General features: G+C 49.6%; 1 annotated feature.

Annotated features, from left to right (window-relative positions):
• Positions 7,692-8,336: an enhancer, noted in NCBI's record as "H3K27ac-H3K4me1 hESC enhancer chr19:19088899-19089543 (GRCh37/hg19 assembly coordinates)". NCBI's record gives its function as "activates a minimal SCP1, AML or CMV promoter by ChIP-STARR-seq in naive H9 embryonic stem cells {active_cell/tissue: H9 hESC(naive)}" and the evidence as "EXISTENCE:reporter gene assay evidence [ECO:0000049][PMID:30033119]".

Here is a 24,545-nt window from a genome sequence, read left to right as displayed (position 1 = left end):
GTCAGGAGTTCGAGACCAGCCTGGCCAACATGGTGAAACCTCGTCTCTACTAAAAATGCAAAAATTAGCTGGGTGTGGTGGTGCATGCCTGTAATCCCAGCTATTCCGGAGGCCGAAGCAGGAGAATCGCGTGAATCCAGGAGGCGGGGGTTGCAGTGAGCCGAGATCGCACCACTGTACTCCAGCCTGGGCTACAAAAGCAAAACTCTATCTATAAATAAATAAATGAAGTTTCCTGAGTCCTTACCTAGACCCCATGACATGATGAAAGGGCCTTGACTCCAGTGTCCTGGTCACAACGAGTGACTTTGGAAAATTCACTTCACTCCCTGAGGCCCCAGCATGCTCATCTTAAAATAAAGATGTTCCAAGCTGGGCGTGGTGGCTCACACCTGCAATCCCAGCACTTTAGGAGGGAGAGGAAAGAGCACTGCTTGAGGCCAGGAATTCAAGGCCAGCCTGGGCAACGTAACAAGACCCCATCTCTATTAAAAAAAAAAGAAACCCTAGCCGGGCATGGTGGCACATGCCTGTAGTCCCACCTACTTGGGAGGCTGAGGAGGAAGGATCACTTGAGCCCGGGAGGTCAAGGCTGCAGTGAGCTGTGATTGTACCACTGCACTCCAGCCTGGGTGACAGAGTATGACCTTGTCTCAAAAAAAATAAATCCATTTGCAAAGTGTAGCATCATTTTTGTAAAAATCTTGTAAAATGTAGACAAGCCCCCCGTATATGGCAATGTTGGGCTGTGTTTCAGCACAAAGATGGGTCTACTCCAAACCGGCCACGTGGTAGGGAAGCGTGTGGGGTCCGGGCAGGGGTGCCACCCCCCACCAACACCCAGCCATGTGCCTCCTTACAACCAGTTTGAAAGGAAAATCCACTGAAGAATGTTTAGAGGAAGTAAAAACAGCAAAGCACTTGCTGGCAGCAATTGTCGGCCTTTGTTTCGGAGGCAGCTGTGGTCTTAGGAGAAAAAAGGATCAGATTTGAACCAAGACAGTTTCTTCCTGTGTCAAATGGGGAAATAAGCCTGGCTTCCTCCCAGGGCCATTGTTCAAAGGCTGCTGTGAAAAACCCTCTGACATCTCCTTGGCAGAGGCTCTGATCGGCTTTTTACATCTTGTCTGTTCACTCATTCATTCATTCATTCATTCACCACACATTTTTATTTGTTGGTTTTCGTTTTGAGACAGGGTCTTACTCTGTCGCCCAGGCTGGAGTGTAGTGGTGCCATCTCGGCTTACTGCAACCTCCACCTCCAAGATTCACGCAATCCTCCCACCTCAGCCTCCTGAGTAGCCGGGACTATGGGCACGCGCCACCATGCCCAGCTAATTTTTGTATTTTTTAGTAGAGAGGGGCTTTTGTCATGGTGCGGTGGCTCATGCTTGTAATCCCAGCACTTTGGGAGGCCAAGGCAGACGGATCGCTTGAGGTCAGGAGTTTGAGACCAGCCTGGGCAAGACGGCAAAATTCCGTTTGTACTAAAAATACAAAAATTAGCCAGGCATGGTGGTACACACACATAGTTCCAGCTACTCGGGAGGCTGAGGCGAGAAGATCACTTGAACCCGGAAAGTGGAGGTTGCAGCGAGCCGGGATGGCGTCACTGCACTCCAGCCTGAGTGACAGAGTAAGACTCTGTCTCAAAAACAAACAAAAAATTTATCATCATTATCATTATTATTTTTAAGACGGCATCTCACTCTGTAGCCCAGGCTGGAGTACAGTGGCATGATCATAGCTCTCTGCAGCCTTGACCTCCTGGGCTGAAATGATCCTCCAGCCTTAGCCTCCTGAGTAGCTGGGACTACAGGCATGTATCACCATGCCTGGCCTGATTTACACCTTTTAAAAGAGCAGTCTGGAAGGGCAGGGCAGGAATGAAAGCAATTCTGAACTGTTCCATCTATACCCCTCGGTTCCAGCCCCATTTAATGGCAGGCACCTGTGCAGGGTATCAGGGCTACCCTGGGCTGCTGGAGCACCCTTTGCCTGAATGCCCACTGGAACCAGAAGTGCCTGGAATTGACATTCCCCAGGGTAACCCTGACAGCTGACGAGGGTGGGGTGTGAATAACCTAGCCAAAAGACACAGAGACATAGACCCCGTGTGCTGGCCAGCTATTTGGTAAAACAACCATTCTCTGGCAGTTGTCTGAAATGTGGCCTTAGACAACGTTGTAGGCTCCGTCTCAGCCCCGAACCCCATGGAGGTCACTTGCAAGGAACCCAGAGCAAACCTGTCCTTTCTGGCTTGGACGTCCCACCTGCCTACTCTAGAGCCTTTGACAGTTTCCCTGTTTCAGTCCAGAGATGTTCACCCTCTCCTTTCTGGCTCTCCACGTTCTTGGCAGGTTGTTGCAAGAGGCAGAGATGTCTGGGAGCAACTAAGTCCCTCAGAACGCAGAAAACCTTCTTCTTCTTCTTCTTCTTTTTTTTTTTTTTTTTTTTTTTTTTTTTTTTTTGAGACAGAGTCTCACTCTGTTGCCCAGGCTGGTGGAGTACAGCAGCTCAATCTGGGCTCACTGCAACCCCCTGTAACCCCCACCTCCCAGTTTCAAGCAATTATTTTGCCTCAGCCTCCCAAGTAGCTAGGACTACAGGCAGGCACCACCATACCTGGCTAATTTTTGTATTTTTAGTAGAGATGGGGTTTCACCATGTTGCTCAGGCTGGTCTTGAACTCCTGACCTCAGATGATCCATCCGCCTCTGCCTCCCAAAGTGTTGGGATTACAGGCATGAACCACTGCACCTGGCCAGAAAACCTTCTTTTATCCAAGTCCAAGTAAGCAGGAGTCCAGGGTGGGCACCCGGGGGGCATCCCTAGATAGCACTGGATATCTTATAGCGCCAGGCATGGCAAAGAACGCTTGGCACCTGTGCTCCTTTCACCTTAGGCAACCACAGCTCCCTTTACAGACGAGGAAACTGAGGCCCAGAGACGTTGGTTAACAACTCTCTGGGGCAGGCAGGTGGGACGTCCAAGCCATTTCCAGAAAGTTCAGTTCTTAGGGCTGGTCTTTAGCTGTTTTTTTTTTTTGTTTTTTTTTTTTTGAGACAGAGTCTCATTCTGTCACCCAGGCTGGAGTGCGGTGGCACTGCAGCCTCAACCTCCCTGAGCTCAGGTGATCCTCCCATTTCAGCCTCCCAAGTAGCTGGGACTACAGGCATGCACCACCATGCCTGGCTAATTTTTTTTTTTTTTTTCTTTTTGTAGAGACAGGGTCCACTATGTTGCCCAGGCTGGTCACAAACTGTTGGGCTTGAGTGATCCGCTTATTTCAGCCTCCTAAAGTGCTAAGATTACAGGCAGGAGCCACTACAGCCTGCCTGGTCTTTGACTTTCTGTTTATCCTCATAGACAGCAATGAGGGCAGCCTCAATTTTCCAATTTCTCTGCTCTCCTAATGAATGAAGTAACTGACATGTTTATAGTGCTGTCTCTGCAGCACTAAGGGCTGAATACATGGGAACTCTTTGGGCTGCATAAAGCCAAAAAGGGAATTAATTGGTGGATGGAATTGGAAAGGACACCTTCAGGATCAGCTGGATCAAGGCACTCAACCAAAACCACCAGCCTCTCTCTCTATTTCTTGGCTTTGCTGTCCTTTGTTTACAGGCAGGCAAGATGGTGGCCAGCAACTCGGAGCCTAGCCTTACCCATTTAAGCAACATCACAAGAGCTCTGTTGTCTGATAGGGGTGGCACAGACACCAAGATTGTCTATTATTGCCCCAGCCCGGGGCATATGCCTGTCTCTGAACCAATCACAGTGGCCAGAGGGCTACAATACACTGATAGCTAGGGCTTCATTGGCTAAGAAGGGGGAAAGACCCCAAGCACAACAAGATGCTGTTCACAGAAGGACTAGGAAGAGCCCCTGCAAGTGGGCAGAATCAGAATCGGAACCCAGCTCTTCACTCCTTAGCTATATTGGTCTCAGCTGCTTTCTTTTCTTTTGAGACAGAGTTTTGCTCTTGTTGCCCAGGCTGGAGTGCCATGGCGTGATCTCGGCTCACCACAACCTCCGCATCCCGGGTTCAAGCGATTCTCCTGCCTCAGCCTCCTGAGTAGCTGGGATTACAGACATGCGCCACCATGCCCAGCTAATTTTGTGTTTTTAGTAGAGATGGGGTTTCTCCATGTTGATCAGTCTGGTCTTGAACTCCCGACCTCAGGTGATCCGCCCACCTCAGCCTCTCAAAGTGCTGGGATTGAGATTACAGGCATGAGCCACCACGCCTGGCCAGCTGCTTTCTGATGGACACTTTCACCCCTTCAAACACCTTCCACTTCAAACTCACCATCAATCAGGTGCAGTGGCTCACACCTGTAATCCCAGCATTTTGGGAGGCCAAAGTGGGAGGATCACTTCAGCCCAGGAGTTGGAGAACAGCCTGGGCAACATAGGGAGACCCAGTCTCTATAAAAAATTTAAAAATCTAGCCAGGTGTGGTAGCCCATTCCTTGTAGTTCCAGCTACTTGAGAAGCTGAGGTGAGAGGATCACTAAAGCCCAGGAGCTCAAAGCTGCAGCGAGCCATGATTGTGCCACTGCACTTCAGCCTGGACAACATAGGAAGACCCTGTCTTTAAAAAAATTCAGGCCTGGCTGGGTGCGGGTGGCTCATGCCTGTAATCCCAGCACTTTGGGAGGCCGAGGCAGGTGGATCATTTGAGGTCAGGAGTTTAAGACCAGCCTGGCCAACATGGTGAAACACTGTCTTTACCCAAAAATTAACTGGGCATGCTGGCACACACCTGTAATCCCAGCTACTCAGGAGGCTGAAGCAGGAGAATCACTTGAACCCTGGAGGCAGAGGTTGCAGTGAGCCGACATCACGCCCCTGCGCTCTAGCCTGGGCAAAAAGAGCAAGTCTCCATAATAATAATAATCATCATCATCATCAGGCCCCCTGGGACCCTCCTCACTGAATCCCAGTCTCTGCTCTCTCGCCTTCTCTGAGCCCCAATTTCCTCATCTGTAAAATGGGTCATCAGGAGCGTCTTGTACTCAGTAAACAGCCAAAGGTCACATTGGATTTACAGAAAGTGAGATCCAGATTCAGAGAGCAAGGAGGCTGGGCGTGGTGGGTCACGCCCGTAATCCTAGCACTTTGAGAGGCCGAGGCGGGCGGATTGCTTGAGGTCAGGAGTTCGAGACCAGCCTGGCCAACGTGGCGAAACCCTATCTCTAAAATACAAAAATTATCCAGGAGTGGTGGCACAAGCCTGTAATCCCAGCTACTCAGGAGGCTGAGGCAGGAGAATCACTTGAACCCAGGAGGTGGAGGTTGCAGTGAGCTGAGATCATGCCACTGCACTCCAGTCTGAGCAACAGACCTAGACTCCATCTCAAAAAAAGAAAAGAAAAACATAGAAGATAAGTCCTTGTGGGGGGTCCTCAGTCAGGGCTGGCGTTGAACTTTCTGTTTATCCTCATAGATCATGAGGAGTTTGGGCAGCCCAAATTTTCCCATTTCTCCACTCTCCTAATGAATGAAGAGGCCAACATGCTGTTTTTAATCCCATCTTTGCAGCAGACATGAATAGCTTCAGGAAGGAACTGGCCGGCATGAGCCAGGCCTGGTGCAGGCTGGCCTGTGAAGTGTCCACATATAAACATTCCTGCAGTTCACGCCAACAAAGGAGAATATGCTCATTTTCATTTTCATTTTGAAAATTAGATTTATTTTGTTGTGTTGGTTAGATTCCATAAAGTTCAGTTCATGGTCAGCCCCCACCTTCAACTTGGCAAACTCATATTCATCCCCCAAAACCCAACACCCACACCCCCTCCTCCATTCTTCAAAGGTTCATAAAATGCTACATCTCTCCCCTCTCTGTGCTATAAGAGAAACATCCAGGCTGGGCACGGTGGCTCACGCCTGTAATACCAGCACTTTGGGAGGCCAAGGTGGGCGGATCACGAGGTCAGGAGTTTGAGACCAGCCTGACCAACATGGTGAAACCCTGTCTCTACTAAAAATACAGAAATGGCCAGGCGCGGTGTCTCACTTCTGTAATCCCAGCACTTTGGGAGGCCGAGGTGGGCAGATCACGAGGTCAGGAGATCAAGACCATCCTGGCTAACATGGTGAAACCCCATCTCTACTAAAAATACAAAAAATTAGCCGGGCATGGTGGCAGGTGCCTGTAGTCCCAGCTACGCAGGAGGTTGAGGCAGGAGAATGGCATGAACCTGGGAGGCAGAGCTTGCAGTGAGCCAAGATCACACCACTGCACTCCGGCCTGGGCGATACAGTGAGACTCCGTCTCAAAAAAAAAAAAAAAAAAAAATTTGCCAGGCGTGGTGGCGCGCGCCTGTCATCCCAGCTACTCAGGATGCTGAGGCAGGAGAATCACTTGAACTTGAGAGGTGGAGGTTGCGGGGAGCCGAGGTCATGCCACTGCACTCCAGCCTGGGTGACAGAGCAAGACTCCATCTCAAAAAAAACAGAAAAAAAAAAAAAGAAAAAGAAAAAAAAGAAGCATTCCCCTGGCACTATGATCGTCTGTTTATAGCTGTTTCTCCCACTCTGGGCTCTGTTCTAGCACCCAGCTCAGTGCCTGGCACACAGTGGATACTCAATAAATGCGGTTTAGGTGGGATCTCACTCTATCGCTCAGGCTGGAATGCATTGGTGCAATGATAGTTCATTGCAGCCTCGACCTCCTGGGCTCAAACGATCCCACCTCAGCCTCCTGAATAGCTAGGACCGCAGGTGTATCCAGCACGCCTGGCTAATTTTATTTATATTTTTGCAGAGACGGGGTCTTGTTATGTTGCTCAGGCTCTTTTTTTTTTGAGACGAAGGCCCATTCTGTCGCTTGAGATGCCATCTTAAATTATAATAATGATAATAAATTGTTTGTTTGTTTGTTTTTGAGACAGGGTCTTACTCTTTTGCCCAGGCTGGAGTGCAGTGGTGCCATCTCGGCTCACTGCAACCTCCACCTCCCGGGTTCAAGTGATCCTCCTGCCTCAGCCTCCCGAGTAGCTGGGACTATGCGCGCATGCCACCAAGCCCAGATAATTTTTGCATTTTTAGCAGAGATGGGGTTTCGCCATGTTGCCTAGGCTGGTCTTGAACTCCTGACTTCAAGTGATCTGTCCCCTTCAGCCTCCCAAAGTGCAGGGATTACAGGCGTGAGCCACCACTCCCAGCCACCCAGGCTCATTGTTATCACCTCAAAAAGAAACCTGTCTCCATCAGCAGTCACTCCCCATTCCCCTCCACCAGTCCCTGGCAACCACCAATCTGCTTCCTGTCTATGGATTTGCCTGTTCTGGGCATTTCAGATCAATGGAATCTCACACTGTGTGGCCTTTTGTGTCTGGCTTCTCTCACTCAGCATCGTGTTTTGGGGGTTCATTCACGCTGTAGCATGGATCAGTGCTTCCTTCTTTTCCATGGCTGTATCATATCCCCCTGTGTGGATGGAACACACTCTGTTATCCATGCACCAGCTGATGGGCATGGGGAGGTTTCCACTTTCTGCCAACCATGACTAGAGCTGCTGTGGACACGCGTGGACAGGTGTTTGTGTGGACGTGGGTTTCCCCATCTCTGGAGCACTTCCCTGGCAGTGTCAGTCAATGTCTAATGGTTATTGTGAAACTTGTTAAACTTTAGCCACATAGTCAGCTGGGTTGCACAGATGACAGATCGAATCCCCCAGGCTTTGAAATCTGCCCCCACCCCCAACTCCCACATCTCCGAAGGGGGCCTTTTTTTTTTTTTTTTTTGAGACAAAGTCTTGCTCTGTCACCCAGACTGAAGTGCAGTGGTGCGATCTCGGCTCACTGCAACTGCAGCCTCAAGTGACTCTTCTGCCTCAGCCTTCCGAGTAACTGGGACTACAAGGCACATGCCACCAAGCCCGGCTAATTTTTGTATTTTTAGTAGAGAACGAGGTTTCACCATGTTGGCCAGGCTGGTCTCAAATTCCCAACCTCAAGTGATCCGCCCACTTCAGCCTCCCAAAGTGCTGGGATTACAGGTGTGAGCCACTGCACCCAACCAGAAGGGGGCCATTTTTGGTCTTCAAATCCAATGTGTCCACCTCTCAGGCCTTTTGCGGCTGAGGACCTCCCTGTCCGCAGGCCAGCCAAAGCAGATCTGTGACCCGGCTCGGGCTGTGGTGTTCTATGGATGGCTGATCAAGCAGCATCCTGCCCTAGGTTTATTTTGGTTGAGGGTAGCAGGCTTGGTCAGCACCTCAGGCCTGGCCCTGCCCAGGACCGTGAAACCCAAGGCCTCTAATGTGTGTCCTTGGTCTGCAGGTGTCTTGGGTGGCGCCCGAGGCTAGGAAGCTGGCCTGGGTTCAGCGGACAAAGGCCAAGGCAATCAGCTGAGGTCCTGCCACCGGAAGCTGTCACTATCTCAGAAATTCCCTGAGTGGCCGGGCGCGGTAACTCACGCCTGTAATCCCAGCACTTTGGGAGGCTGAGGCAGGCAGATCACTTGAGACCAGGAGTTCAAGACCAGCTTCGCCAATATGGTAAAACCCTGTCTCCACTAAAAATACGAAAATTAGCCAGGCATGGTGGCGGGCACCTGTAATCCCAGCTACTCCAGAGGCTGAGGCAGGAGAATCGCTTGAGCCCAGGAGACAGAGCTTGCAGTGAGCCAAGACCATACACTGCACTCCAGCTTGGGCGACAGAGCGAAACTCCATCTCAAAAAAAGAAAAAAAAGAAATTCCCTGAGTATGTATTGGAAAGTAACCCCGCCTCCTTCCCATCACCGGGCCTCTGGGTGCCTGTATCAGTAATGGCTCACAAGAGAAACAGAACCAACAGGAAATATACATATTACATATATAGAAAGAGATTTTCTCTAAAAAAAAAAAAAATTTTTTAAGATTTATTTTGTCTGGGCGTGGTGGTTTACGCCTGGAATCCTAGCACTTTGGGAGGCTGACATGGAAAGATTGCTTGAGCCCAGGAGTTTAAGATCCCATGTTTACAAAAAAGTTTTTAAAAAGTTTGGGCATGGTGGTGTGTGCCTGTGATCCCAGCCACTCCAGAGGCTGAGGTGGGTGGATCGTTTGAGCCCAGGAGGTCGAGGCTGCAGTGAGCCATGATCCCACCACCGCACTTCAGCCTGGGTGGCAGAGATCCTATCTCTCTCAAAAAAAAAAAAGATGTATTTTAAGGAATTGGGTCATGCAATCGTGGGGGCTGATAAACCCAAAATTCATAGGGCACTCTAGCAGGTTGGAAACAGGGAGGCTTTATTTGTTGCAAGCTTACGAATTCCTTTTTCCCTCTAGAAGCTGTTTTTGCTCTCTGAAGGACTTCAACTGATTAGATAAGAAGCATCGGCTGGGTGCAGTGGCTCACGCCTGTAACCCCAACACTTTGGGAGGCCGAGGCAGGAGGATCACCTGAGGTCAGGAGTTTCAGACCAGCCTGACCAACGTGGAGAAACCCCGTCTCTACTAAAAATGCAAAAATTATCCAGGCATGGTGGTGCATGCCTGTAATCCCAGCTACTCAGGAGGCTGAGGCAGGAGAATGTCTTGAACCCGGGAGGTGGAGGTTGCAGTTAGCCGAGATCACGCCATTGCACTCCAGCCTGGGCAAAAAGAGCGAAACTTGGTTTCAAAAAAAAAAAAAAGAAACATCAAGGTCATGGAGGATAAATTCCTTTACTTCAGGTCAGTTGATTGGAGGTGTTAACCACATCTGCAAGGCCGGGTGCAGTGGCTCAGCCTGTAATCCCAGCACTTTGGGAGGCTGAGGTGGGAGGATTACTTGAGTCCAGGAGTTCAAGATCAGCCTGGGCAACATAGTAAGACACCAATCTCCACCAAAAAAAAAATGTTTTTTAATTAAAAAAAAACTTTATTAAAAAAATGCAAGATGGAATGGATCAATTTTTTTTTTTTTTTTTTAGACGGAGTCTCACTCTGTCACCCAGACTGGAGTGCAAGGGCGCGATCTCGGCTCACTGCAACCACTGCCTCCCAGGTTCAAGCGATTCTCCTGCCTCAACGTTCTGAGTAGCTGGGACCACAGGCACGTGCCACCATGCCCGGCTGATTTTTGTGTATTTAGTAGAGACGGGTTTCGCCATTTTGGCCAGGCTGGTCTCAAACTTCTGACCTCAGGTGATCCACCCGCCTTGGCCTCCCAAAGTGCTGGGATTACATGCGTGAGCCACCATGCTCGGCTTAATATACGTTCCTACGCAGACTTGAGAATGTACATCTTTCATCTGTCCATCCCATTTGCAGATGGGGCTCAATTTCTGCAGCTTCCACCCTCCAAATGCCTTTGACATTCTTCTACGAGTTATAATTCTTCTCTGATTTGTTAAGATTTGACAACTCTCCCCCAAGGCATATGAAAAAGCATTAAAAACCTCACATGAATGAAGGAGAACCATTGAGCCCTGTCACGGATAATTTATTTCCTCTTGAGAATGTTCTTTTTTTTTTTTTTTTTTTTTTCTTGAGATGGAGTCTTGCTGTGTCACCAGGCTGGAGTGCAGTGGCACGATCTCGGCTCACCACAACCTCCACCTCCCGGGTTCAAGCGATTCTCCTGCCTCAGCCTCCCAAGTAGCTCGGACTACAGGCATGCACCACCACGCCTGGCTAATTTTTGTATTTTTAGTAGAGATGGGGTTTCTTCACATTGGTCAGGCTGGTCTCGAACTCCCGACCTCAGGTGATCTGCCTGCCTTGACCTCCCAAAGTGCTGGAATTACAAGTGTGAGCCACTGCAACAGGGCATTTTTTTTTTTTGACGGAGTCTTCCTCTGTTGCCCAGGCTGGAGTGCAGTGGCGCAATCTTGGCTCATTGCAACCTCCACCTCCGAAGTTCAAGCAGTTCTCCTGCCTCAGCCTCCCGAGTATCTGGGATTACAGGCATGTGCCACCACGCCCGGATAATTTTTTGTATTTTTAGTAGAGATGGGGTTTCGCCATGTTGGCCAGGCTATTCTCAAACTCCTGACCTCAAGTGATCTGCCCGCCTCGGCCTCCCAAAATGCTGGGATTACAGGTGTGAGCCACCGCACCCAGCGGAATGAAGGTCCCATTTCTGTCGGATACATTCACAGAAGTGGAGTTGCTGCAGTGTATGTGGTCTCCTATCTGCATGCATGGTGTCCTTTCCATCCCTTCCCTGTCCACATCATGGTGTGTCATGCAGACACAAATCTTTTTTTTTTTTTTTTTTTTTTTTTCAGACAAGGCTTTGCTCTGTCACCCAGGCTGGAGTGCAGTGGTGCAATCATGGCTCATTGCAACCTCAACCTCCTGGGCCCAACCAATCCTCCTACCTCAGCTTTCCAAGTAGCTGTGACCATAGGCATGAACATGGGTTCATGCCACATGCCTGGCTAATTTTTGAATTTTTATTCTTTGTAGAGATGGGGGCTCCCTATGTCACCCAGGCTGGTCTCAAACTCCTAGGCTCAAGCAATCCTCCCACCTTGGCCTCCCAAAGTGCTGGGATTACAGGCATGAGCTACCACACCCGGCCAGACACTAATTTAACCAGGCCTCTCAGGCTAGATCTGTGGGCTGCTTCCAACTTTTCCTGGTATGAGAAATATTCGGCCAGGCGCGGTGGCTCACGCCTGTAATCCCAGCACTTTGGGAGGCCGAGGTGGGCGGATCACGAGGTGAGCAGATCGAGACCATCCTGGCCAACATGGTGAAACCCTGTCTCTACTAAAAATACAAAAATTAGCTGTGCTGTGGTGGCACATGCCTGTAATCCCAGGTACTCGGGAGGCTGAGGCAGGAGAATCACTTGAACCAGGGAGTCAGAGGTTGCAGTGAGCCAAGATTGTGCCATAGCACTCCAGCCTGGGTGACAGAGCAAGACTCTATCTAAAAAAAAAAAAAAAAGAAAAAGATATATTCTCCAGGTCAGGTGTGGTGGCTCACACCTATAATCCAAGCACTTTAGAAGGCTGAAGTGGGCGGATCACTTGTGGTCAGGAGTTTGAGACCAACCTGGCCAACATGGTGAAACCCCCATCTCTACTAAAAATACAAAAATTGGCTGGGCGCAGTGGCTCACGCCTGTAATCCCAGCAGGCTGGGAGGCCAAGACAAGTGGATCACCTGAGGTCAGGAGTTCAAAACCAGCCTGGCCAACATGGTAAAACCCCATCTCTACTAAAAATACAAAAATTAGGCCGGACATGGTGGCTCACACCTGTAATCCCAGCACTTTGGGAGGCCAAGGCAGGCAGATCACGAGGTCAGGAGATCGAGACAATCCTGGCTAACACGGTGAAACCCCGTCTCTACTAAAAATACAGGCGCTGGTGGGCGCCTGTAGTCCCAGCTACTTGGGAGGCTGAGGCAGGAGAATGGCCTGAACCTGGGAGGTGGAGCTTGCAGTGAGCTGAGATCGTGCCACTGCACTACAGCCTGGGCAACAGAGCAAGACTCCATCTCAAAAAAAAAAAAAAAATTAGCCTGGCATGGTGGCAGGCGCCTGTAATCCCAGCTAGTGAGGAGGCTGAGGCAGGAGAATCGCTTGAACCCGGGAGGCAGAGGTTGTAGTGAGCCGAGATCACGCCATTGCACTCCAGCCTGGGCAGCAGGAGTGAAACTCCATCTCAAAAAAATAAAATAAAATAAAATAAAATAAATGGCCGGGTGTGGTGGCTCATGCCTGTAATCCCAGCACTTTGGGAGGCTGAGGCGGGCGGATCACCTGAGGTCAGGAGTTCGAGACCAACCTGACCAACACAGAGAAACCCCATCTCTACTAAAAATACAAAATTAGCCGAGCATGGTAGCACATGCCTGTAATCCCAGCTACTAGGGAGGCTGAGGCAGGAGAATCACTTGAACCTGGGAGGCAGAGGTTGCGGTGAGCCGAGATCACGCCATTGCACTCCAGCCTGGGCAACAAGAGCGAAACTCCATCTCAAAACAGAAACAAACAAACAAAAATTCCTGCAGGACGCCTTACTCAAGACTGCAAATAAGAGAAACTCTCTCTCTCTCTCTCTCTTTTTTTCTTTTATTTTGCGACAGATTCTCAATTTGTTGCCCAGGCTAGAGTGTAATGGTGCCATCAGGGCTCACTGCAGGCTCAGCCTTCTGGGCTCAAGCGATCCTCGGCCTCTCAAGTGATCCACATCACCCGAGCTAGAGAAACCCGGGGTCCTGATGCCACAGTGGTAAGACCTGCCATGCCGCTGGAGAGCAATAATATGGCACCCACTGCATGCCAGTGCCGTGCCAGCACCAAAGACAGAAAGGGTGGCTCAGGAAGGTTCTGGATTTTGGATTTTAACTTTTGGCTGTAGATGGAGGGTGCTCTTATCTGCTTCTGGGCCAGTGGGACCAGCCCTTTCCTGCATTACCTCACCCCAGTGCTGGTGGGAGGACAGTCTAAACTCTATTCACAGAGCGTCAGAGAGAATGAAGCCCTCGGTTGGGTGTGGTGGCTAACACCTGTAACCCCAGCAATTTGGGAGGCCAAAGTGGGCGGATCACTTGAGCCCAGGAGTCCAAGACCAGCCTGGGCAACATGGTGAGACCCCTGTCTCTACACAAAATACAAAATTTAGCCATGGGTGTTGGTACATGCTTGTGGCCCCAGCTACTCAGGAGGCTGAGGTAGCTGAGGATCACTTGAGCCCTGGGAGTCGAGGCTGTAGTGAGCTATGATTGTGTCATTGCACTCCAGCCTGGGTGACAGAGAAATTTCCTGTCTAAAAAAAAAAAAAAAAAAAAAAATTCGTGGTGCTGGAGCCTCTGAGGAAATGCAGCGCGTAGGAGCTGGGGCTCCCCTGCCTGCACCCGGGGCCTCTGCAGATGACCAGAAAAACTGCCCCACAGGAGCTCAGACTGGCCAGGGGGCCCCAAGACCCACGCTGAAGGCCAGGTCCTGCCAAAAAGTGCACACGGGGTAACTGTCATTTCCCCTAATTAAAAAAATGTTGGTCAATTTCCTGATGGAGAAACAAAGAAGCAGAAAAGAAAACAAATAAAAACCCTGCAACCCCTCCCTTAATCGCTCAGCTCGCAGAGATAATCTCCGTTGGCATGTTCATGACCGCTTTCCAGCATTTCTTTGCCTGCATTTTCAAAACGGTCTTATTATATTTTTGTTCTTATCCAAGAAATGTGACTGTATTGGAGAAGAAACAGCCAACAAGATAAGCAGAGAGAAAAAATAAACAGAAATTATACCTCTCGGCCGGGCACCGTGGCTCACGCCTGTAATCCCAGCACTTTGGGAGGCCAACACAGGCAGATCACTCGAGGTCAGGAGTTTGAAACCAGCCTGGCCAACATGGTGAAACCCCGTCAACATGGCGTGAAAAAAAATTAGCCAGGCGTGGTGGCGTGTGCCTGTAATCCTAGGTACATGGGAGGCTGAGGAAGGAGAATTGCTTGAACTTGTGAGGCAAAGGTTGTAGTGAGCCAAGATCGCGCCATTGCACTCCAGCCTGGGTGACAAGAGTGAAACTACGTCTCAAAAAAATAATAATAAATAATAATAAACGGCCAGGCATGGTGGCTCACACCTGTAATTCCAGCACTTTAGGAGGCCGAGGCAGGTGGATCACTTGAGGTCAGGAGTTCAAGACCACTCTGGCCAACATGGTGAAATCCTGTCTCTATTAAAAGTATAAAAAATTAGCCCGGTGTGGTGGCAAACGCCCCGTAATCTCAGGTACTCGGGAGGCTAAGGGGAGAGTATCGCTTGAGCCCGAGAGTTTAACAGCATGGACAACATAGTAAGACCCCTGTCTCTAAAAAATAAACAATTTAAAAAAAATTTTTTTTTTGGAGACAAGAGTCTCCTTTTGTCACCCAGGCTGGAGTGCAGTGGCGCAACCTTGGCTCGCTGCAACCTCCACTTCCCGGGTTCAAGTGATTCTCCCGCCTCAGCTTCCCATGTGCCTAGAATTACAGGCATGCGCCATCATGCCCAGCTAATTTTTGTATTTTTAGTAAAGACAGGGTTTCTCCACGTTGGCAGGCTGGTCTTGAACTCCTGACTTCAGGTAACCCACCTGCCTCAGCCTCCCAAAGTGCTGGGATTACAGGACTGAGCCACCATGCTTGGCCAAAAGTTTTGTTTTTAAATTTAATGTTTATACTTCTTTCCTCTGCTTAAAAAAAAATACAACATACATCTCTTGGCCAGGCACAGTGGCTCACACCTGTAATCCCAGCACTTTGGGAAGCCGAGGAGGGCGGGTCACCTGAGGTCAGCAGTTCGAGACCAGCCTGGCCAATATGGTGAAACCCCATCTCTACTAAAAATACAAAAATTAACCAGGCATGGTGGCAGGCACCTGTAATCCCAGCTACTCAGGAGGCTGAGGTGGGAGAATCACTTGAATCCGGGAGGCAGAGGTTGCAATGATCCAAGATCGCTCCATTGCACTTGAGACTGGGCAACAGAGCAAAACTCCGCCTAGAAAAAAAAAACAGAAAAAAGTAAAAAGAAAAAAAGAATTCATCTCTCTCACACACATACACACTCACATAAACACACACATATATATACACACACACACACATATCTACAACTCATGTAGGACGGGAAAGGCTATCAGCCCCACCCACCCAGCAGAGCTCCACCTGAGGCAGGTCAGAACAGGAGACAAATTAAAGTTCAAGGCCGGGGCGGTGGCTCACGCCTGTAATCCCAGCACTTTGGGAGGCTAAGGCAGGCAGATCATCTGAGGTCAGGAGCTCAAGACCAGCCTTGGCTGACATGGTGAAACCCCGTTTCTACTAAAAATACAAAAATTAGCCAGGCGTGGTGGCGCATGCCTGTAATCCCAGCTACTTGGGAGGCTGAGGCATGAGAATTGCGTGAAGCCAAGAGACAAGTTGCAGCAAGCCGAGATCGTGCCACTGCACTCCAGCCTGGGAGACAGTCTCACTCTGTCTCCCCCAAAAAAAGAAAAAAAAATAGATATGTGATTCATCCAGAGTTCAGGCTTGATCCCTGACATGGATGAAACTGTCAAGTTATTGAGGCTAATTTCAAAAACTTTTTTCTGTGTGCTATTTTGTTTTAATTTTTTGAGACAGGCTCTCATGCTGTCCCCCAGGCTGGAGTGCAGTGGCGTGATCATAACTCACTGCAGCCTCCTGGGCCCAAGACAATTCTACCTCAGCCTCCAGAGTAGCTGATACTACAGGCACGAGCTACCACACCCGGCTACTTTTCAAAGTTTTTGTAAAGGCGGGCTGTCACTATGTTACCCAGGCTGGTCTCGAACTCCTGGGCTCAAGGGATCGATTGCTCCTGCCTTGGCCTCCCGAAGTGCTGGGATTACAGGCATGAGCCACCATGCCCAGCCTCTTTTATTTTGAATACCAAAATAATACAATAGTTCCCCCTTGCCTGTGGGGAATATGTTCCAAGATTGCCAGTAAATTCCTGAAACTTCAGAAAATACCAAACGTGTATGCACTGTTTTTTTCCTATGCATACATACATACCTATGATAAAGTTTAATTTATCAGTGAGACACAGTAAAAGATTAACAACAATAACATAATAAAATAGAAAATTAATAAAATTTGGATTTCTGGAACATAAGCACTGTAATACTGACACGGTTGATCTGATCACCCAGAAGATTACTAAGTGACTAGCCGGCTGGTAGTGTCTATGGCGTGGGCACCCTTAACAAAGGGATGATTCATATCCAGGGTGGGAGGGGGCGGGGTGGGGACTGATTTCATCACACTACTCATAACGGCAGGCAACTGAAAACTTACGAATTATTTCTGGAATTTTCCACTTAATATGTTTGGATTGAGGTTGATGGAAGGTAGCCAACACCACAGAAAATGAAACCTCAGGCCGGGTGCGGTGGCTCACGCCTGTAATCCCAGCACTTTGGGAGGCCCAGGCAGGTGGATCACCTGAGGTCATGAGTTCAAGACCAGCCTGACCAGTATGGCGAGACTGCATCTGTACTAAAAATACAAAAATTAGCTGGGTGTGGTGGTGCGTGCCTGTAATCCCAGCTACTCCAGAGGCTGAGGCAGGAGAATCACTTGAACCTGGGAGGTGGAGGTTGCAGTGAGCCGAGATCGTAGCACTGCACTCCAGCCTGGGAGACAGAGCAAGCCTCCATCTCAAAAAAAAAAAGAAAGAAAGAAAGAAAGTGAAACCTCCGATAAAAGGGAATCACTGTATACTATGTGAACAATTCAAATTTGCAGAGTCCCATCGAATACAGAATCCCACTCCCACCCCTTCAGTCCTTCCTGAGAGTCTGATGTGTTGTCTCTCCTATGGCCCAAATGTATGTGTCCTCCTGGAATTCATATGTGGAAGCCTAAGACCCATGTGACAATATGAAGAGGTGGGGGCCAGGCGCTGTGGTTCACACCTGTAACCCCAGCACTTTGGGAGGCCAAGGTGGGTGGATCACTTGAGGTCAGGAGTTAGAGACTAGCCTGGCCAACATGGTAAAACCCCGTCTCTACCAAAAATACAAAAAAATAGTCAAGCATGGTGGTACACACCAGCTACTTGGGAGGCTGAGGCAGGAGAATTGCTTGAACCTGGGAGGCAGAGGTTGCAGTGAGCTGAGATTGCACCACTGCACTCCAGCCTGGGGGAACGAACAAAACTCTGTCTCAAAAAAAAAAAAAAAAAAAATATATATATATATATATATATGACAGATGAGGTCTGCATATGTTGCCCAGGCTGGTCTAGAACTCCTGGCCTCAAGTGATCCTCCTGCCTCATCCTCCCATAGCACTGGAATTCTAGGCATGAACCCCCACACCTCCAATGATAGTTACTTTTTGCGAAGTGTTCAGGCAGGGCTGCTGGGACCCAGTACCACAGCAGCTCTATGAGTTGGAAACCATGGCCCAGAAGAGACTCAGAGTGAGAAAGGGCTTTCCCCAAAGGTGAATTTTTGTGTGTAGGGTGTGAGGTAGGGATCAAGGTTTATTTTGTGCCACACAGATACCCAGTTACTCCAGAAGAGTTTATTAAAAAGCCTGGGACTGGGCACAGTGGCTCACACTTTGGGAGGCCACGGCAGGCGGATCACAAGGTCAGGAGTTCGAGACCAGCCTGATCAACACGGTGAAACCCCATCTCTACTAAAAATACAAAAATTAGCCAGGTGTAGTGGTAGGTGCCTTTAATCCCAGCTACCCAGGAGGCTGAGGCTGGAGAATCACTTGAACTCAGGAGGTGGAGGGTGCGAAGACCCGAGATCCTGCCACTGCACTCCTGCCTGGTGACAGAGCAAGACTCTGTCTTAAAAAATAATAATAATAAATAAAATAAAATAAAAATAAAAATAAAAAGCCCATCCTTGCCCAAGCTCACAGAGGTAACCAGAGATGAAGCAGGGATTCCAACCTGCATTCCTCTGAGTCAACCTGGAACATTCTCCAAGTCTCCAGAGAGCCTGTCGTCATGGCCAGCTGAGCATGCTTTGCCCTGTCAGCAAAATGCAGTATTTGAAAAGTCACGAGCGTTTCAAAAGGAAGCAGAGTGAGGCGGCCTGGGTCAGCTCCAAGGTGCTTCCTTCCTGCAGGGATGGTGCAATATCCCCAACTGTCTACTGCCCGTTGTGACTTCACCTTCTTATACATTTATTTTTTATTTTTATTTTTTTATTTTCCTGCCTTATTCCAAGAGAGAAGGCTGCGTGTGCATTTCCGTCGGGGAGGTATTTGCCGAGGGGAAGTTCACAGTCATACCCATATCCAGAACCTTTGTGCATTGGGAGATGTTCCAGAGGAACTGCTCTGCCCTCCGGCCTGGTGGGGCAAACACCTGCTTACCCCAAAGCATCAGGATTGCAGGGGGCACAGCCAGGCTCCCAGGCCACTCTCAGAGCTGCCCAGTGCTCCCTAAGCCTCCCCAAATCAGAGAGAGAGTCCTCAAGCACTCAGAAAAATCTAGGAACCTCCCTAGGCTCCTCCTTCTGCCAACTTCTCATAGCCCTCCCAACCCAGGCAGCAGAACGTCTCTCCCTGGAGCCTGTTCCTGCTGACTGTTTTGTTTGTTTGTTTTTTGAGACAGAGTCTCTCTCTGTCACCCAGGCTGACTGGAGTGCAGTGGAACAATCTTGGCTCACTGCAACCTTTGCCTCCCAGGTTCAAGTGATTCTCCTTTCAAGTGATTCTCCTGTCTCACCCTCCCTAGTAGCTGGGATTACAGGCGTGTGCCACCACTCCCGGCTAATTTTTGTATTTTTAGTAGAAACGGAGTTTCACCATGTTGGCCAGGCTGGTCTCAAACTCCTGACCTCAGGTGATCCACCCACCTCAGCCTCTCAAAGTGCTGGGATTACAGACATGAGCCACCGTGCCCAGCTTTTTTTTTTTTTTTTTTTTTTTGAGTTGGAGTCTCGCCCTGTCACCCAGGCTGGAGTGCAGTGGTGCGATCTCAGTTTACTGCAACCTCCACCTCCTGGGTTCAAGTGATTCTCCTGCCTCAGCCTCCCAAGTAGCTGGGACTACAGGCACCTGACACCATGCCTGGCTAATTTTTGTGTTTTTAGTAGAGACAGGGTTTCACCATATTGGCCAGGCTGATCTCGAACTCCTGACCTCAGGTGATCTGCCCGCCACAGCCTCCCAAAGTGCTGGGATTACAGGCGTGAGCCACCATGCCTAGCCCCTGCTTATTGTTTGTTTGTTTTATAGAAATGGTGTCTCAATAAGTTGCCCAGGCCGGCCTCAAACTCCTGGCTTCAAGTGTTCCCTCCCACTGGAGTAGTGTTGTTGTCTGGGGTAAATACCCAAGATTTGTTGTCTCACAGGCCCGGAAAACTAGGACTCAGACATACAAAGAGTGAGGTTCAGAGTGGAAGTTTAATCGGTGAAAGAAAGAGAAGCGCTCTCTCTGCTGCAGAGAGAGGGATCTTGAACGGGTTTCCACTTCCTCAGTAAAAAGCAGTGAGTTTTATGGATGAGCTTAAGGAGGTGGTGTCTGATTTCCATAGGGCACAAAAGATTGGTTGGACCAGGTGTTTCATTTGCATAGGGTGTAAAAACCTGGTTAAGGCTATGTGTGTAATTTGCATAGGGTGTGAAAAGCTGGCCTTCCCATCCTAATCTTTTTTTTCTTTCTTTTCTTTCTTTTTTTTTTTTTTTTTTTGAGTCTCCCAGGTGGAGTGCAATGGTGCGATCTCAGCTCACTGCAACCTCTGCCTCCCTGGTTCAAGCAATTCTCCTGCCTCAACCTCCTGAGTAGCTGGGATTACAGGTGCCTGCAACCATGCCCGGCTAATTTTTTTAGTAGAGATGGGGTTTCACTATGTTGGCCAGGCTGGTCTCTTGGCCAGGCTGGTCTCAAACTCTGACCTCATGATCTGCTGCCTCATCCTCCCAAAGTGCTGTGATTACAGGCATGAACCACTGCGCCTGGCTTCTTAATCTTTTATTATGCAGATGAGTTCTCTAGCTGGCTGGCGCCATGTTGCCTGTTCATTTTTTTTTGTCGCCCAGGTTGGAGTGCAGTGGCTCGATCTTGGCTTACTGCAACCTCTACCTCCTGGGTTCCCGCGATTCTCCTGCCTCAGCTTCCTGAGTAGCTGAGATTATAGGCGCCCACCACCATGCCTGGCTAATTTTTGTATTTTTAGTAGAGACGGGGTTTCGCCATGTTGGCCAGGCTGGTCTCGAACTCCTGACCTCAGGTGATCCACCTGCCTCAGCCTCCCAAAGTGCTGGGATTTCAGGCATGAGCCACCGTGCCCAGCCAAACTAAAACCTGTTTCTTTACTGTACACGTAGTGACCAAAAAAAAGGGAAGCTGGAGCCCCCATGTTGAACATGCCAGGCCCTCAGGTGGCCCTTTTCCATTGACACAGCTGCTGGTATTCACCCCTGGAAGCTTCCCACTTGCTTATCCATGTCTGCAGCTCGATTTTTCAGGCTGTTTTTTGTTAGAAAAGAAATGAGTTGGCCGGGCGCTGTGGCTCACTCCTGTAATCCCAGCACTTTGGGAGGCCAAGGTGGGCAGATCACGAGGTCAAGAGATCGAGACCATCCTGGCCAACATGGTGAAACTCTGTCTCTGCTAAAAATACAAAAAATTAGCCGGGTGTGGTGGCAGGCACCTGTAATCCCAGCTGCTCGGGAGGCTGAGGCAGGAGAATCGCTTGAAGCCGGGAGGCGGAGGTTGCGGTGAGCCAAGCTCGCGCCGTTGCAATCCAGCCTGGGCAAAAAGAGCTAAACTCTGTCTCAAAAAAAAAAGAAAAAAAGAAAAGAAAAAAGAAATGAGTTGCGGCTGGGCACGGTGGCTCACGCCTGTAATCCCAAAACTTTGGGAGGCCGAGGTGGGTGAATCACAAGGTCAGGAGTTGAAGACCAGCCTGGCCAACATAGTGAAACCCCATCTCTACTAAAAATACCAAAATTAGCTGGGCATGGTGGCACATGCCTGTAATCCTAGCTACTTGGGAGGCTGAGGCAGGAGAGTAGCGTGAACCTGGGAGGCAGAGGTATCAGTGAGCCGAGATTGCACCACTCCACTCCAGCCTGGGCGACAGAGTGAGACTCCATCTCGTAAAAGAAGGCCGGGCACAGTGTCTCACGCCTGTAATCCCAGCACTTTGGGAGGCCGAGGTGGGTGGATCGCCTGAAGTCAGTAGTTTGAGACCAGCCTGGCCAACATGGTGAAACCCCGTCTCTACTAAAAATACAAAAATTAGCCGGGCATGGTGGCACACGCCTGTAATCCCAGCTACTCGGGAGGCTGAGACAGAATTGCTTGAACCAGGGAGGCAGAGGTTGCAGTGAGCCAAGATCGTGCCACTGCACTACAGCCTGGGTGACAAGAACGAAACTCCGTCTCAAAAAATAAAAATTAAAAAAAGAAAGAAATGATTTGGGGGGCTGCTTTTTGTTAAAAGAGAAATTCCCAGGACTCTTTTACCCTCACTGTCTGCCAAAATAATTTCTATCTCCTGTATCACGACCACAACCTCCCAAAGTGCTGGGATTATAGGTATGAGCCACAGCACCTGGCCCCAGCTCATTGTTTTGTTTTGGTTTTTTTCATTTTTTAAAACTCATGATCATTGTTCAATGCATTATTATTATTATTATTATTTTGTTGTTGTTGTTGTTGTTGTTTGTTGTTTTGGTGTTGTTTTTTGTTTTTTGAGACGGAGTCTCGCTCTTATCGCCCAGGCTGAAGTGCAATGGCGTGATGTCATCTCACTGCAACCTCTGCCTCCCGGGTTCAAACGATTCTCCTGCCTCAGCCTCCCCAGTAGATGGGGTTACAGGCACCCGCCACCACGCCTGGCTAATTTTTGTATTTTCAGTAGAGACTGGGTTTCACCATGTTTGCCAGGCTGGTGTTGAACTCCTGACCTCATGATCCGCCCACCTCAACCTCCCAAAGTTCTGGGATTACAGTCGTGAGCCACCAGGCCTGGCCTATTATTATTATTTTGAGACAGGTTCTCACTCTGTCTCCCAGGCTGGAGTGCAGTTGCAGTGGCACAATCACAGCTCACTGTAACCTCAAACTCCTGGGCTCAAGTGATCCTCCTACCTCAGCTTCACGCATAGCTGGGACTACAGGCACGTACCAATGTGCCTAGTTAATTTTTTATTTTTTGTAGAGACAGAGTCTTGCTATATTGCCCAGGTTCATCTCGAACTCCTGGCCTCAAGTGATCCTCTTGCCTCAGCCTTCAAAGGCTTTGGGATTTCAGGCATGAGCCACTGTGCCTGGCCAAAGGTTTTATTTTACTCTTTTTTTGTTTTTTGTATTTTAGACAGAGTCTCGCTGTGACCCCCAGGCTGGAGTGCAATGGCGTGATCTCGGCTCACTGAAACCTCCGCCTCCTGGGTTCAAGTGATTCTCATGCCTCAGCCTCCTGAGTGCCTGGGATTACAGGCACGCACCATCATGCCTGGCTAATTTTTGTATTTTTAGTAGACACAGGGTTTACCATGTTGGCCAGGCTGGTCTCGAACTCCTGACCTCAAGTGATCTGCCTGCCTCGGCCTCCCAAAGTGCTGGGATTACAGGCATGAGCCACCGCACCCGGCCTATTTTACTCTTACACACACACATACATGTATGAATACACACGTCCTTCCCATTGTTGCTCCTGGGCTCTGATTGATCATTATGAAAGCTCTTTCCCTTCCCAGACCTTACAGAAATGCACACATACCCTCTTATTATTATTATTCTTTTTTGAGACGGAGTTTTGCTCTTGTTGCCCAGGCTGGGGTACAGTGGCACGACCTCGGCTCACTGCAACCTCTGCCTCCCGGGTTCAAGCAATTCTTCTGGGTCAGCCTCTGGAGTAGCTGGGATTACAGGCACCTGCCATCATGACCGGCTAAGTTTTTGTATTTTTAGTAGAGACAGTGTTTCACCATGTTGGCCAGGCTGGTCTCGAACTCCTGACCTCAGGTGATCCACCTGCCTCAGTCTCCCAAAATGCTAGGATTACAGGCATGCGCCACTACACCTGGCTGCACATAGCCTCTTCTAGTGTTCGCAGGGTGCATATTCACATCTCAGGTCCATTTGGAATTATTATTTTATTTTTTTGGAGACAGAGTCTCGCTCTATCCCCCAGAGAGTGCAGTGGCGCGATCTTGGCTCATTGCAACCTCCGCCTCGCCGGTTCAAGCGATTCCCCTGCCTCAGCCTCCCAAGTAGCTGGGATTACAGGCGTGTGCCACCATAGCCGGCTAATTTATTTGTATTTTTAGTAGAGATGGGGTTTTGCCATGTTGGCCAGATGGGTCTCGAACTCCTGACCTCAGGTGATTCGCCTGCTTCGGCCTCCCAAAGTGCTGGGATTACAGGCGTGAGCCACTGCACCGGGCATATATATGTATATTTTTTGTAGTAGTATCCAGTTAGCCCAAAATCCACTCCCTCCATGGATTTGAAACTGCAGAGAGGGGAGGCTATTTTGGCCAGGATGGTAGCATTTAGTCGACTCCTAAAGGAGCAGTTAGTCATAGGGAAGAACTGAGAGTAGGCGGCTCAGATAGCATATGCAAAGGCTCTGGGGCGGTAATGTTGTTGCCCTGTGCAAAGACCAACTGGGAAGCCTGTGGCTGGAGTACAGTGAATAAGGGGGATGGTGGAGGGAGTTGAGGGTGGACAGGTGAGGTGTTTGGCTTTATTCTGAGGCTGTGGGGGCACAAGGAAGGGACCAGCTCTGGTGCACAAAAGGTCCCTTCCATCTCGGGGATGGCATGCCCATTCGACAGATATGGAGACTGAGGCTTGCTGAGGCGCAGACAGGCACAGACAGGAGTCAAGGATGGTGCCTCCATTTGCTGGACTAGGAGCTGAGGCCGGGGGTCCTCTCGTTTCTCTCAGTGCATGGACGACGTGACCTCGCAGCCTTATTTGTGCACGATCACCCACAGCAGGATCCTTTCATCCTGCTGGTAGCTTAGCCTCAACTGCGTGTAGCAAGAAAGCTCTTCCGCTGCAGTGCTGAGCCGCCCGCTCCGCCCAGCCCCAGCCCCAGCCCCAGCCCACCCGGCGCATCTCAGCCTCTAGCCACGCCCCCAAACCCTCTGCACAGGTGCACTTCGC

Source organism: Homo sapiens, chromosome 19 (assembly GCF_000001405.40).
Source record: "Homo sapiens chromosome 19, GRCh38.p14 Primary Assembly".
Taxonomy (NCBI): Eukaryota; Metazoa; Chordata; class Mammalia; order Primates; family Hominidae; genus Homo; species Homo sapiens.
This window is presented reverse-complemented; position numbering and strand designations above follow the sequence as displayed.